The sequence below is a fragment of the Homo sapiens genome, chromosome 17, assembly GCF_000001405.40.
Source record: "Homo sapiens chromosome 17, GRCh38.p14 Primary Assembly".
Taxonomy (NCBI): Eukaryota; Metazoa; Chordata; class Mammalia; order Primates; family Hominidae; genus Homo; species Homo sapiens.
The window spans coordinates 64,286,129-64,301,463 of NC_000017.11; the positions used below are offsets into that span (position 1 = coordinate 64,286,129).

The window sequence follows — 15,335 nt, forward strand, 5'->3', positions numbered from 1 at the left end:
TCTTTTGTAAATCGCCTAGTCTTGGGTGTGTCAGGTATGTCTTTTATTTTTATTTATTTATTTTGAGACAGAGTCTCACTCTGTTGCCCGGGCTGGAGTGCAGTGGTGCTATTTTGCCTCACTGCCGCCCCTGCCTCCCTGGTTCAAGCGATTCTCCTGCCTTGGCGTCCCAAGTAGCTGGGATTACAGGCGCTTGCCACCACGCCTGGCTAATTTTTGCATTTTTAGTAGAGACAGGGTTTCGCCATGTTGGCCAGGCTGGTCTCAAACTCCTGACCTCAGGTGATCTGCCTGCCTCAACCTCCCAAGATGCTGGCATAACAGGCGTGAGCCACTGTGACCGGCCTGGGGTATGTGTTTCTCAGCAGTGTGAAAGTGGATTAATACAAGTGCCCTGCCTGTCTTGAGAGACAGTAGAAAGACACTGTCCTGGGAGTCCAAGGCAGGGCCTGTCCCCATAGGGAGCACAGGGTGAGCAGGACAGAACCAATCTTCAGGGGGAACTTTCCAGAGCCGTGGATTGTTGGACTGACCGCTCCCTTGACTGAAGGAAGGTTCGAAGAAGGCCCTCCAGCCCGAGGTGTGTCCTGAATCAGGCCCTGGGGATCATAGCAAGAACCAGCAGGCCCTTTCATCAGAGCCCCACTCTCTGGGCATGTCACAGCTGTGCCTAGGAGGGCTCGCTCTCTCTCCTCCAGTGGGAACACAGCAGGGCCAGTAGGGCCTCCGAACTGGGCCCATCTTCCTCAAGCTGAGTTCGTCAATTTCCCCAGGCCCAGACTGTCCCCCTGAGCCTTTGCCCAGGAGCTGCTTTGCCCACAAAGCCTTCTCACCCTGCCTTCTTGTTGCAGATTAAAGGGCACCTCCACTGTAATTAGATCCTTTTTCAAACAAAAGAACTATACGTAATGTCCTTGAAATAACTGGGGAAATTTGAATATGAACTGGGCATTGGATTATCAAAGAAATATGATGACCTACGTTTGGTGTGATAAAGGTATCCCTATGTAGGAAATTATCTTTGTGTGTTCTTTTTTTTTGAGACGAAGTCTCGCTCTTATCCCCCAGGCTGGAGTGCAATGGCATGATCTTGGCTCACTGCAACCTCCGCCTCCTGGGTTCAAGCGATTCTCCTGCCTCAGCCTCCCAAGTAGCTGGGATTATAGGCATGTGCCACCACGTCTGGCTAATTTTTGTATTTTTAGTGGAGACGGGGTTTCACCATGTTGGCCAGGCTTGCCTCAAACTCCTGACCTCAGGCGATCCACCCGCCTCGGCCTCCCAAAGCGCTGGGATTACAGGCGTGAGCCACCGTGCCCAGCTATCTTTGTTTTTAAAAGGAGGCCGGGCGTGGTGGCTCATGCCTATAATCCCAGCACTTTGGGAGGCCAAGGCGGGCGGATCAAAAAATCAGGGGATTGAGACCATCCTGGCCAACATGGTGAAACCCTGTCTCTACTAAAAATGTAAAAATTAATCGGGCGTGGTGGTGCACTCCTGTAATCCTAGCTTCTTGGGAGGCTGAGGCCAGAGAATCCCTTGAACTCGGGAGGCGGAGGTTGCAGTGAGCCAAGATTGCGCCACTGCATTCCAGCGAGCCAAGATTGCGCCACTGCACTCCAGCCTGGTGACAGAGTGAGACTCTGTCTCAAAAAAAAAAAAAAAAAAAGGAACACTGAGGTATTTGGGGGTGAACCTCTGCAATGTCTGAAGTTTACCTTAAAATCCTTCAGAAGGAAGTTAGAAATAAATCTAGCAAGATGCTAATAACTGTTAAGCCTGGGTGGTGAGCATGTAAGGCTTTCTGTATGTTTGGAAATTTATATAATATAATGTAGGAAGAACCTCCGAGAGGCCTTCCCTGATTCCCTAGAACTGGGTTGGGTGTCCCTCTCATGGGTGACCGTAGTTCCTGTCCTGGCCCGACATCAGTCACCGGGACACTTAGAATTCTGAATTCAACTGCCTGCCTTTTAAAATTAGGTTAAGACCCTTGGGGGTACCCCCAGAGAGTCTGACAGAGAGTAGATGCTAATACAGGAATGCTGGAAAGAAGGAAGGAGGAAGAGGGAGGAGGGAGGGAGGCTGCAGCCCCCAGCTCCCGTCTCAGAACCAGGCACACAGCAAGTCCTCAACTCTTGTTTATTAGGCTGAATTTTCTTTTCTATTTTTTTTGAAACGGAGTCTTGCTCTGTCACCCAGGCTGGAGTGCAGTGGTGCAATCTTGGCTCCCTGCAACTTCCACCTCCAGGGTTCAAGTAATTCTTGTGCCTCAGCCTCCTGTGTAGCTGGGAATACAGGCATCCACCACCACGCCTGGCTAATTTTTATATGTTCTTTTTTTAGTAGAGACAAGGTTTTGCCATGTTGGCCAGGCTGGTCTTGAACTCCTGACCTCAAGTGATCTGCCCGCCTCAGCCTCCCAAAGTGTTGGGATTACAGGCATGAGCCAGCGTGCCTGGTCTAGGCTGAATTTTCTAGGAGGAAGCCGGCTCTCCTGTCTTCCTTTTCCTTGAGGGTTCTATCAGTGTCATAGTCAGAAGACAGGCTGGGTTTTGTGGCCGCCTTCCTTTTCTGTGTCCCAAGCCCACCCTCAGCCAAAGTGCTGTTGGAAATTGAGGCTGAATATTTATGCCCACCACACAGAAATGTGTACATGAATTTTTTTGTTTGTTTGTTTGTTTGTTTTGAGATGGAGTCTTGCTCTATTGCCCAGGCTGGAGTGCAGTGGCGCGATCTTGGCTCGCTGCAACCTCTGCCTCCCGGGTTCAAGTGATTCTTCTGCCTCAGCCTCCCGAATAGCTGGGACTACAGGCGTGCGCCACCACGACTGGCTAATTCATGAATGTTTTTAGCAGCAGTATTCATGATAGCAAAAAAGGTCAAACAACCCAAATGTCCACCAACTGATGAATGGATAAAATGTGGTGTATCCATACAACGAAATATTATCTGGCAATAAAAGGGAACAAAGTTCTGATGGATGCCACAACAGGGATGAACCTCAAAAACATTACGCTAAGTGGAAGAAGCCAGTCACGAAGGGTCACATATTATGATCACATTTATATGGAAGGTCCAGTGTAGGCAAATCCACAGAGGCAGAAGACTGATATGTAGTTTCCTAGGACTATGAGAGTTAGAGGAAGACAGAGTCTCGCTCTGTCACCCAGGCTGGAGTGCAGTGGCGTGATCATGGCTCGCTGTAGCCTTGACCTCCTGGGCTCAAGCAATCCTCACACATTAGCCTCTCGAATAGCTGGGACTGCAGGTGCAAGCTGCTACGCCTGGCTAATTTTTGTATTTTTTATTTTAGTAGAGATGGGTTCTTGCCATGTTGCCCCGGCTGGTCTTGAACTCCTGGGCTCAAGTGATCCTCCCACCTCTGCCCCCAAAGTGCTAGGATTATAGGTGTGAGCTACTGCACCCAGCCAGTAGGAGTTTTTTGGGGGGGATGACAAAAATGTTCTAAAATTGATTGTAGTGTTGGTTGCAGGACTCTGAATATACCAAAAACCTCTGAATCGTCACTTTAAAAGCATGAATTTTATGGTATGTGAATTATATCTCAATCAAGCTGTTATTAAAATATATATATATATATGGCCATTATCCAGCCTGTGCTGCAGGGTGATAAGGCAGAACGAGATGGACGTGGGGTTGGCTGTCTTCCCAATTTAAAATAGAACAATAAAAGATGAGCTGGGGATGTGGGGCGAGTATGTAACAGGGCCTATAAATAAGACCTTGGCTTGTAGCTGTCAGATGCAAGGTGCTGATGAGGGCTGCTTATCTGTGACCTTGCAAGGAGCAAAGTTTGATCTCAATCTATTCACTAAACAGCCAAGTGTGATGCTGTGGAGATGGGGAAGACGAAAACTCCTCCTGTGGTGCCAGAAAGATATAATTAAAAATATAAATCACACTTTCCAGGCTTGGAAGACATTTATCATGTAGCTTTCCAGAGGCATTGCACAGACAAGGCAGTTTGAATAATTCCATGAATTACCTTGGAAAAGAGAAGGAGGGGGCACCTCCAGAGTGGTGGGCATGGTGGAGAGGGGGAAGGAAGGAAGGAAAGAGGACAGATCAGTAGCAACGAGGGGGAAGTGGGTATTGTTGTGGATTCCCAGCCTGGTGGTCCAGGCCAGGACATGTGTGGTGAGCACACACAGCATTAGACATTTTCTTAATCAGTTGTCATAAGAATACGAGCTCCAGGAGGGCAGAGATTTTTGTTTGTTTTGTTCATTGCTGCATCCCCATGGCTGGTGTGCCACAATTTTTTGTGTGTACATGTTGAGTAAATGAATATTTTAAAATTAGAGTTGACTTCCACCTCTGGTGAAGATGGAATAACAGGGACCAGTCTGAAACAAGTAAAAAACTGGACAAAAGATTTCAGTGAACCAAAAAAGGAAAAACAAAAAAAAAAGCTGGACAAAATATAAAACAATGGTTTTCAAGACATTGGATGTCACGCAATGGATCTCAAGGACAACAATCCTTGAGAGAAGAGAAATAGACTGGGTGTGGTGGCTCACGCCTATAATCCCAGCACTTTGGGAGGTCTAGGTGGGAGGATCACTTGAGGCCAAGTGTTCAATATCAGCTTGGCCAACATGGGGAAACCCCGTCTCTACTAAAAATACAAAAATTAGCCAAGCGTGGTGGTGCATGCCTATAATCCTAGCTACTTGGGAGGCTGAGGCAGGAGAATCACTTGAACTCGGGAGGCGGAGGTTGCAGTGAGCCAAGACTGCGCCACTGCACTCCAAGCTGGGCAACAGAGCAAGACTCCATCTCAAAAACAAACAAACAAACAAACAAACAAACAAAGAATATCCTATGGCTAAGGGAGAAGACCCACAGCTGGAATTCAGACTTTGTGGGGCAAAGTGAAATTACGGCCCACTGGATAATGAAGTTCACTGGGTTGTCCCAGGCCACAGCTGGTCCACAGTTGCTGGACAAACAGAAACTCCCGTCTGGGGTGCAAGCAGGTAGAGGTTGGTGGGCACAGAACTATGGCTAAGATTGGCAAGCAAGAAATCTCCCCATCAGGGTACAGATGGACTAAAGCTGGAAAGTGAACCACCATGGGGCCTGTGGGACTCACTGAGAATCTGCCCACGGGGACTGCTGAAACTTGATGGGAAGCTGTCAGTGAGGATAATTCTAAAATTTGGTGAGGGTGAGTACCACTGGATGTCCCTCATGCTCCCCTGGCAACCATGAAATAAGAGCAAGAAATCCGTAGAAGTGCACGAAAACAAGAAAAGAGAAGCAAGCACCTTTTTACCTACAGTGCATCTCCAGCGCCCTCTACTGACAAAGTTTAGTATTGTGCTCATAGCAAAGGAGAAATTCTTACAGGGTCCAGCTCAGTTATCACCGGCAGGCAAGGAAGGGTAGATTTGAAGCTGAGAGAGAATAGATTGATAGCTGGTACAGACACAGTCTGACATTCAATAAAAAATGATCAGGCATGCAAAGAAGACAAAATATGACTCATAATGGGGAGAAAAATCAATCGATAGAAATAACCTTTAAAAGTACACAGATGAGGCTGTGTACAGTGGTCCATGCCTGTAATCCCGACACTTTGGGAGGCTGAGATGGGAGGATGGCTTGAGGCCAGGAGTTTGAGACCAGCCTGGGCAACGACGAGACATCGTCTCTACTAAAAATTTAAAAATTAGCTGGGCATTGTGGTATGCACCTGTAGTTCCAGCTACTTGGGAAGCTGAGGTGAGAGGATCGCTTCAGCTAAGGAGTTCGAGGTTGCAGGGAGCTATGCTGGTGCCACTGTACTCCAGCCTGGGTGATGGAGTGAGACCCTGTCTCTTACAAAAACAAAACACAGATGATAGAATTAGTAGACAAAAACAAAACAGTTATCATAGCAGCTATTACATATCCTATATTCAAGAAGGTAGAGGAAGGATTGAGCATGTTTCATCTAGATATGGAAAATATTTTTTAAAAGATCCAAACTGAACTTCTAAAAATGAAAAATATAATGCCTGTGGAGGGAAAATACACTGGATGGGCTAATTCCAGATTAGATATCACAGAAGAAAATGCCAGTAAACTTGAAGACATAACCTTTAAAATATTCAAAATGAAACAAGAAGGGAAAAAGACGGAAAAAAATGAACTTGGAAATAGTCCCTGGTGGGAGAGGGGGGGGAATAAGCCAAGCATTCTCTTTCTGTTCCCATATTTCTGTAGTGTAGAGATAGGCAAACTTTTACTTAAAGGAAGAGATAGTGGGTATTTTAGGCTTGTGGGCCATATGGTTTCTTTCTTTTTTTTTGAGATGGAGTCTCACTCTTTTCCCCGGGCTGGAGCGCAGTGGCACAATCTTGGCTCACTGCAACCTCCGCTTCCCAGGTACAAGCAATTCTCCTGCCTCAGCCTCTCAAGTAGCTGAGACTACAGGTGCTCACCACCACAGGGTTTCACCATGTTTTCCAGGGTGGTCTCGAACTCCCAGCCTCAAGTGATCTGCCTGCTTTGGCCTCCCAAAGTGCTGGGATTACAGGCGTGAGCCACCGCGCCCGGCCAGGGCCATATGGTTTATATTGCAACTTCTCAACCCAGCCTATTTAACTCTGCTCAAAAGCAATCATAGACAATATATAAGCAAATGGGCATGACTGTCTTCCAGTAAAACTTTATTTATAAAAACAGGCAGCCAACCCATGGTCTATAGTTTGCCAGTTTCTCCCCGAGAGCATCCAGTGGGTACCCTAAGTGCTCATTCAGCACCCCCAAAACCCAGAGGGGCTACCTAAGCCTGGTAGATGAGAGCTCACCCCAGGCCCCAGATCTGTCTTCCTCTTCTTCTCTCCATTTAACTGGCATTCTCCATCCAGATTTCATTCCCCCAGGGCCTTGAAGGTTAGTTAGTAATAAGTGAATCTATTTAGCACTTGCAGTATGCTAAAATATGGTTCCCCCGAAAGATATTCACATTCTAATCCCTGGAAACTGGAATGGCTTTTGTTTTTTTTGAGACAGGGTTTCACTCTGTCATTCAGGTTGGAGTGCAGTGGTACGATTTCAGCTCACTTCAGCCTCCACTTCCCAGGCCCATGTGGTCCTCTCACCTCAGTCTCCCAAGTAGCTGGGACTACAGGTATGCACCATCACCCCTGGCTAACTTTTCGTATTTTTGTAGAGGCGGGGGTTTGCCATGTTGCCTAGGCTGGTCTCGAACTTCTGCGCTCAAGTGATCTACCTGCTTTGGCCTCCCAAAGTGCTGGGATTACAGGCATGAGCTACCGTACTCGCTGACTGTTACTTTATATGGAAAAAGGAGCTGGGTGCAGTGGCTCACATCTGCAATCCCAGTACTTTGGGAGGCTGAGGCAGGTGGATTGCTTAAGGCCAGGAGTTTGATACCAGCCTGGGCAACATAGTGAGACCCTGTTTCCACAGAAATAAAAGATTAGCCAGGCCAACATGGCAAGTCCCTGTCAAGAAAGAAAAGAAAGAATAAAGAAAAAGAGAATGTGAGAGAAAGAGAGAAGAGAAAGAGGAAGAAGAAGAACGAGGAGGAGGAAAGGAAGGAAGGAAGGAGGAAGGGAGGGAGGGAGGGAGGAAGGAAGGAAGGAAGGAAGGAAGGAAGGAGGAAGGAAGGAAGGAAGGAAGGAATCTTTGCAGATGTGATTAAGAATCTTGCATTGGGCACTTTGGGAGGCCGAGGCGGGTGGATCACCTGAGGTCAGGAGTTTGAGACCAGCCTGACCAATATGAAACCCCATCTCTACTAAAAATACAAAAAATTAGCTGAGTGTGGTGGCACGTGCCTGTAATCCCAGCTACTCAGGAGGCTGAGACAGGAGAATCGCTTGAACCTGGGAGGTGGAGGTTCCAGTGAGCTGAGATCGTGTCATTGCACTCCAGCCTGGGCAACAAGAGCGAAACTCCGTCTCAAAAAAAAAAAGAATCTTGCATTGGGGAGATTATGCTAGATTATCCAGGTAGGCTTGCAATGCAATCACAGGTGTTCTTATAAGAGAGAAGCAGAGAGAGGTTTGACACACAGAAGGGGCTATCTGAAGACAGAACAGAGAATGGTTTGAAGATGCTGACCTTGATGCTTGGAGTGAAGGTGCCAGCAGCCACCAGAAGTTGGAAGAGGTAAGGAATCCACTCTCCACTAGAGCCTCTGGAGGGGCACGTCCCTGACTACACCTTGACTTCAGCGCATTGATGCTGATTTTGGACTGCTGGTCTCTAGAACTGAGAGAAAAAAATGTGTATTTCTTTAAGCCATGTATTCTGTGCTAATTTGTTGCAGTAGCGCTAGGAAGCTAATACAGTCGTTGAGTAATTATCTGCAATCATCAATAAAGTCAAATTACCTTCCCCCATCCTGCTTTCAGAGCTAGTTTTTTTTTTTTTTTTTTTTTTTTTTTTTTTTTTTTTAGACAGGGTCTCACTCTGTCCCCAGGCTGGTGTACAGTGGCGCAATCTTGGCTCACTGCAACCTCCAATTCCCAGGTTCAAGCGATTCTTGTGCCTCAGCCTCCCAAGTAGTTGGGACTATGGGTGCATGCCACCATGCCTGGCTAATTTTTTTGTATTTTTTGGTAGAGATGAGGTTTCACCATGTTTGCCAGGCTGATCTTGAACTCCTGACCTCAAGTGATCCACCCACCTCAGCCTCCCAAAGTATAGAGATTACAGACGTGAGCCACTGCACCTGGTCAGAGCTGGGTTAAAGAGGCTTTCTGTACCTCTGCCTTAACACAAAGCAGGCTTCACGGGAATGGGCGGGCAGCCCAGCCAAGGAATCAATGTGTTGATGTGGGAATCAGGAGATGTGGGTTCAAGTCCCGTTCTGCCTTCCTCACTGGGTGATCCTAGGCCTTTGGTTTCCCCAGCTGTGAAACTCCCACATGGGGTAGAAGAGAAGGCTTCCCTCCTGCTGCAAATGCTGTTAAGCTTAAAGGGAATGCTGCGCAAACATGGTCTATCATTACCTTTGGGGATGTGGGGCCCTTAGATTCTACCTGCTGACAGCCTCCCGGCTCTGAGTTTTTGGAGTAACAATAATGATAACAGGAGCGGCTAACCTTTACTGCGTGCCAGGTGCTGTGTTAAGCAGTTGACTTGTGTCCTTCTCCAGAGAAAGCATGGAAATAGGCTAGTGGAGTTGGCACTTAGAATCAGCAAGACCTGAGCTGGAGTCTCAGATCTGCCACAATTAGCTGTATGACCTTGGACAAGTGAGTCAACCTCTCAGAGCATCATAAGCCTCACTTACAAAATGGTGCTGCCTTTGCCTATCTTCCAGGGATGTTGTGAGGATCAGGTTTACCTTGAGCAAAATGCCTGGCACAGTTCTCTTGCTACCATTTGTTATTTGTGACCATTTGTTCTTTGTGACTAGGATTCCTGAACACACGTGTTCACAAAGTGGGTGTGCTGTTGTCTCTCAGTAGAAAACCATCTAAGTGCTACCACATCCATTCAAAAGGTAACAGTATGGGCCCGGTGTGGTGGCTCACGCCTGTAATCCCAGCACCATGAGAGGCTGAGATGGGTGGATCACTTGAGGTTAGGAGTTCAAGACCAGCCTGGCCAACATGGTGAAACCTTGTCTCTACTAAAAATACAAAAATTAGGCCAGGTGCGGAAGCTCACGCCTGTAATCCCAGCAGTTTGGGAGGCTGAGGCGGGAGAATCACTTGAGGTCAGGAGTTTGAGACCAGCCTGGCCAACATGCTGAAACCCCGTCTCTACTAAAAATATAAAGATTAGCCAGGCACGATGGCGGGTGCCTGTAATCCCAGCTACTCGGGAGACTGAGGCACGAGAATCACTTGAACCCAGGAGGTGGAGTTTGCAGTGAGCCGAGATTGCACCACTGCATTCCAGCCTGGGCAACAGAGTGAGACTCTGTCTCAAAAAAAAAAAAAAAAAAAAAAAAAAAAAAGGGCACCGCTACTATCCCAACCCCTGCCCCACTGCTGAGGAACTATAGAATATTTCTTCTAAGACAGCACCTAGACTCCTGCATCCATGGTAATTTTCATGCTGAGTGCTGAGCGACTAATTTTCCCACCTAAAATTGATTCTTCCTTCTTTTGTTATTATAGTCTGGAGAAAGGACATAATAAAAACTCTTTGAGTCTGACAAAGAAAACAACACGAAATGCGATTTAACATTGGAAGTAATCGTTGTGTCGACAATTCTAAAGAAAATAAACAGATCAAGGAGTAGCTTTTAGAGCTAGTCTTAAGTCATGCCAGAAATATCTGAGTTAGAGAGAGAAGGTTACATGCAACAATTTGTTTCTGTCCCTGAAATGCTGCTCAGCCTGGACTTTCTGTGCTGGTTAAAAGCCCTTCCAACTCCCTGACCCACTGGCCCTAGCCCCACAGGTGTCCTCAATATTGATCTCACTCTTGACTCCATCCAGCCACCCAGACCTGTGGATTTCATGCCTCTCACAGCTGTGGGATATTCCCCTCGGCCTCCCTCCTGGGGTGGTTTCATAGCCGGTTCTCTAGTCTCGCTGTGTCCAGGCCCGACTGGGCAGAGCAACCCCCCAAGACAGCTCCCATGAGCTCTTTCTGATCACGATGATGAAAAGATTGTAATGGTGACTGCCAGTTATGTACCCAGAACCTACTGAGTGTCTACCATATTGCTTAGGTTCTTTCATTTAATTTCCAAAAGCCTACAGGGTAGCTTCTGTGGGTCCCACTTTAATGATGAGGCAACTTGCCCAAGGTTGGTCAAGGTGACTGAGCTGGTAAACAGTGAAATGCATTTGAACTCAGGACCATGGGACTCCGAAGTTTGTGTTCTTTTCACTTTACTGGTTTCCTTCACTGGCTTCCCATTGCCCAACAGCTGAGTTTCTGAAACTGTGCCCTGGGGACATCACCGTATAAGATGTTAACAATACATTTTCTTTTGCTTTTTTTTGGAGACAGGGTCTCTGTCACCCAGGCTGGAGTCCAGTGTCATGTCACGATCACAGCTCACTGCAGCCTCAACCTCCTGGACTCAAACAATCCTCCCACCTCAGCCTCCCGAGTCACTGTGACTACAGGAGTGCACCACCACACCCGACTAATTTATTTTTATTTTTTGTAGAGATGGAATTTTGCTTGTTGCCCAGGCTGGTCTCAAACTCTCGGGCTAAAGTGATCCTCCTGCCTGAGTCTCTCAAAGTGCTGGGATTACAGGCATTAGCCACTGTACCTGGCCATAAATTTTCCTTAAACAACAAAGTGTGTGGTGGTGGGCATGGGAGGCCTGTGGTTAAATCCATTTGGGACTAGCTCCCTGTGTTGCCCCCTCTTGGAGAATTCCTGGCATATTAGTATAGTAAAGGCTTTGATGCGTCTGCAATTAAAGAACAAAACCCTTTAACCCAGAGTTTTCCAAGGGCACTTTGCCATGGAAGCCTTTTGCACAGAGCATCTGTCAGTCTGAAGGACTGGTGTTCCTCGGCACACAGTCTAGGAACCGCTGGGCTTCTGGCTCAAGTTGCAGGCCCTTGGCCCAGTTGGTTCACAGGCCCCTGTGCAGCTTCTCTGGTTTCACCTCCTCTTGTGCCCTGGGTCAAACTTCTGTTCTGGCCATAGCTCACTGCTCACAATTCCTCCAGCCAGAGAGGGTGTTCATGCCTCCATGAGGGTCTTCCTCTGCCTGGCATTCTGTTTCCGCCCTCCCTCCTCTATGTGCTTTCAGGAATGTACTAGCTGGAATGTCCCCTGCTCAGAAGCATTTTCCCAAGCCTTTTTTTTTGAGATGGAATCTCGCTCTGTCACCCAGGCTTGAGTGCAGTGGCGTAATCTCGGCTTACTGCAACCTCCGCCTCCCAGATTGAAGTGATTCTCATTCTTCAGCCTCCCAAGTAGCTGGGACTACAGGCTCACTCCACCACACCTGGCTAATTTTGTTTTTTTTGTAATTATAGTAGTGATGGGGTTTCACCATGTTGGCCAGGCTGGTCTTGAACTCCTGGCCTCAAGTGATCCTCCTGCCTTGGCCTCCCAAAGTGCTGGTATTACAGATGTGAGCCACCGTGCCCGGCCTGCATTTTCCCAAGCCTTCTAACCAGAGCTAATCACCTACCCCATGATTGCACCATCCATGTACCTAGCACTTACTTTTAGTACAGCTTGTCTCTCTGTGTATATTGAATAATATTTATTTATTTATTTATTTGTTTTTTTTGTTTTTTTTTTTTTGTTTTTGAGATAGAGTCTTGCTCTGTCGCCCAGGCTGGAGTGCAGTGGCACCATCTCGGCTCACTGCAAGCTCCGCCTCCCAGGTTCACGCCATTCTCCTGCCTCAGCCTCCTGAGTAGCTGGGACTACAGGCGCCCGCCACCACGCCCAGCTAATTTTTTCTATTTTTAGTAGAGACAGGGTTTCACCGTGTTAGCTAGGATGGTCTCAATCTCCTGACCTCGTGATCCACCTGCCTTGGCCTCCCAAAGTGTTGGGATTACAGGCGTGAGCCACCGCACCCGGCTTGAATAATATTTATTTTTATGTGGCCGTCTTCTATTGCAGACCACGAACTTCTTTTTTTTTTTTTTTTTTTTTTTTTTTTTTTTGAGACAGAGTCTCTGTTGCCCAGGGTGGAGTGCAATGGCACGATGTCAGCTCTCAGCTCACTGCAACCTCCAACACCGGGGTTCAAGCAATTCTCCCTGCCTCAGCCTCCCAAGTAGCTGGGATTACAGGCGCACGCCACCATGCCCAGCTAATTTCTTGTATTTTTAATAGAGATGGGGTTTCGCCATGTTGGCCAGGCTGGTCTCGAACTCCTCACCTCAGGTGATCTGCCCACCTCGGCCTCCCAAAGTACTGGGATTACAGGCATGAGCCACCACGCCCGGCTGACCGTGAACTTCTTAAAGGGTAGACTGTCTTCTTTATTTCAGAATCTTCAACACCAAGCACAGGGGCCTGATATGCAACAGATATTTGCCAGCTCAACTTCCTATTGTATTTTAGAGTATTTTCTTAATATATATATGTATATATTTGTCTATAATTCATGACAGGTGCATTGGCTTGTGCCTATAATCCCAGCACTTCGGGAGTCTGAGGCCAGACCATCGCTTGAGGCCAGGAATTTGAGATTAGCCTGGGTAACATAGTGAGACCTCGTCTCTACATTAAAAAAAAATTAAATTAGCCAGGTGTGGTGGTGCATGTCTATAGTCCCAGCTACTCAGGAGGCTGAGACAGGAGGATCACTTGAGCCCAAGAGTTTGAGGCTGCAGTGAGCTATGAGCTCCCAGGCTGGAGTGCTATGCCATTGCACTCCAGCCTGGGTGACAGAGGGAGACCCTGTCTCTAAAAAAGAAAAAATAGAAGTAATTCATGCCCATTGTGGGATGTTAAAAAAATAAGAAGAAAAATCCATAATTCTGGAGGGATCAGGCAAATGATTTTCCACCTGGTGTTAACATAAGAACTGGCCAGGCGCCATGTTACATGCCTGTAATCACAGCACTTTGGGAGGCCGAGCCAGGAGGATCACTTGAAGCCAGGAGTTCAAGACCAGCCTGGGCAACATGGCAAAACCCAGTCTGTACTAAAAAATACAAAAAGTAGCTGGGTGTGGTGGTGCATGCCTGTAATCCCAGCTACTCAGGAGGCTGAGGCATGAGAATCGCTTGAACCCAGGAGGCAGAGGTTGCAGTCAGCTAAGATCATGCCCCTGCACTCCAGCCTGGGTGACAGAATGAGACCTTGTCTCAAAAAAAAAAAAAAAAAGAAAAAGAAAAAAAGAATTACCTGGGTGAGCTTGTTAAAAATAGAAATGCTCACACTGTGCCTGGGCCACCCAGCTGCTGTCTCAGTGTGTGTGTGTGTGTGTGTGTGTGTGTGTGTGTGTGTGTGTGTGTATACATGTGTGCATACGTGTGTCTAATGAAATTCCAGCTGATTCTAAAACTCATCCATCCCTGTACCTAGCACTTACTTTTAGTACAACATCATCCATCATTAAGCGTCTGGTGATTCAAATATTTTTGTACTACAAACAAAGTTGTGATAAATATCTTTGTACGTAACTGTTTGTCTCTGGGTCTATTTATTGCCTTAGAATAGATTCCTAGAAGTGGAGTTACTGAGCCAAAGGGCAGGCAGGTTTTCAAGGCTCCCGGGACAAATCATCAATTACTCTGCAGAAAGACTGCGCCACTTCCCTCTCCCACCGGAGCCTCCGAGGGTGCTTGTCTCATCAAACCCCCACAATTATGGCCACTTTTGACAAGAAAGAATACGGGAATAGTTGCTATTAAATGTGAAAGAAAAATTGCCTAGCTGGGTGGTTTTTAAAGAGAGGCATTTAGCAAGCTTTTGAAGACTAATTACTGTTTAATCATCCTAGGAACACACAGGCTCATTATTTTCTTTTTGCAGAGACTGAGAATTGCAATGCATGGTTGGTAATTTTGCCAATGCTGTAAACACCCATCACTTCATTTTCCTAGAAAAGCTTTGCTCTCTCTATGTGTGAAGGATGAAGCCTGTGTGTTTCGTTCTCCCCAGACACTCAGCTAACGGGCAGGTCCTCTCAGCTGACAGCATCTCACCCGAGATACTAACACCTACAGTGTGGGCAGGGGACTGGCCGCCCACCGCACAGAATGTTGCCCGAAGCTCAATGTTCTTAGCTGTCATATTTCATGTTTTCACCCTTTCCTCCTCCATCCATCTCTGGCAAGCAAGGGCACCCTGGCAGAGTTTCTTGAAGTTTGCCTGGACAGTTCATTCCTGCCTTAGAATGGAAAAGGCCGCCGGGCGCAGTGGCTCACGCCTGTAATCCCAGCACTTTGGGAGGCTGAAGCGGGCGGATCACGAGGTCAGGAGATCGAGACCATCCTGGCTAACATGGTGAAATCCCGTCTCGACTAAAAATACAAAAAATTAGCCGGGCGTGGTGGCGGGCGCCTGTAGTCCCAGCTACTCGGGAGGCTGAGGCAGGAGAATGGCGTGAACCCGGGAGGCAGAGCTTGCAGTGAGCTGAGATCGTGCCACTGCGCTCCAGCCTGGGTGACAGAGCAAGACTCCGTCTAAAAAAAAAAAAAAAAAAAAGGAATGGAAAAGGCCATTATTACCTCCCCTGTGCTCCAGGATCTACAGTGTAGCTGGGAAAGAGAAGTTTCCAGGAGGGAAGACTGCCATGACCAAGTCCAAAGGAGGACAATGTTCATTCAAATGTTCAATATGCTCATCTTCTGACCCACAGCTACCGTTCTGGAAATCGATCCTAGAGAATACTTAGACATGTGCATAATGCTATTTGCAAGGACTTTCCCTACTGTTAGAAAACAAAC

The 15,335-nt window shown here is 47.3% G+C and overlaps 1 annotated feature.

Annotated features, from left to right (window-relative positions):
* Nucleotides 3,561-3,855: a silencer, noted in NCBI's record as "tiled region #13166; HepG2 Repressive non-DNase unmatched - State 23:Low, and K562 Repressive DNase matched - State 9:DNaseU". NCBI's record gives its function as "represses a minimal TATA promoter and a strong SV40 promoter by Sharpr-MPRA in HepG2 and K562 cells {active_cell/tissue: HepG2 | K562}" and the evidence as "EXISTENCE:reporter gene assay evidence [ECO:0000049][PMID:27701403]".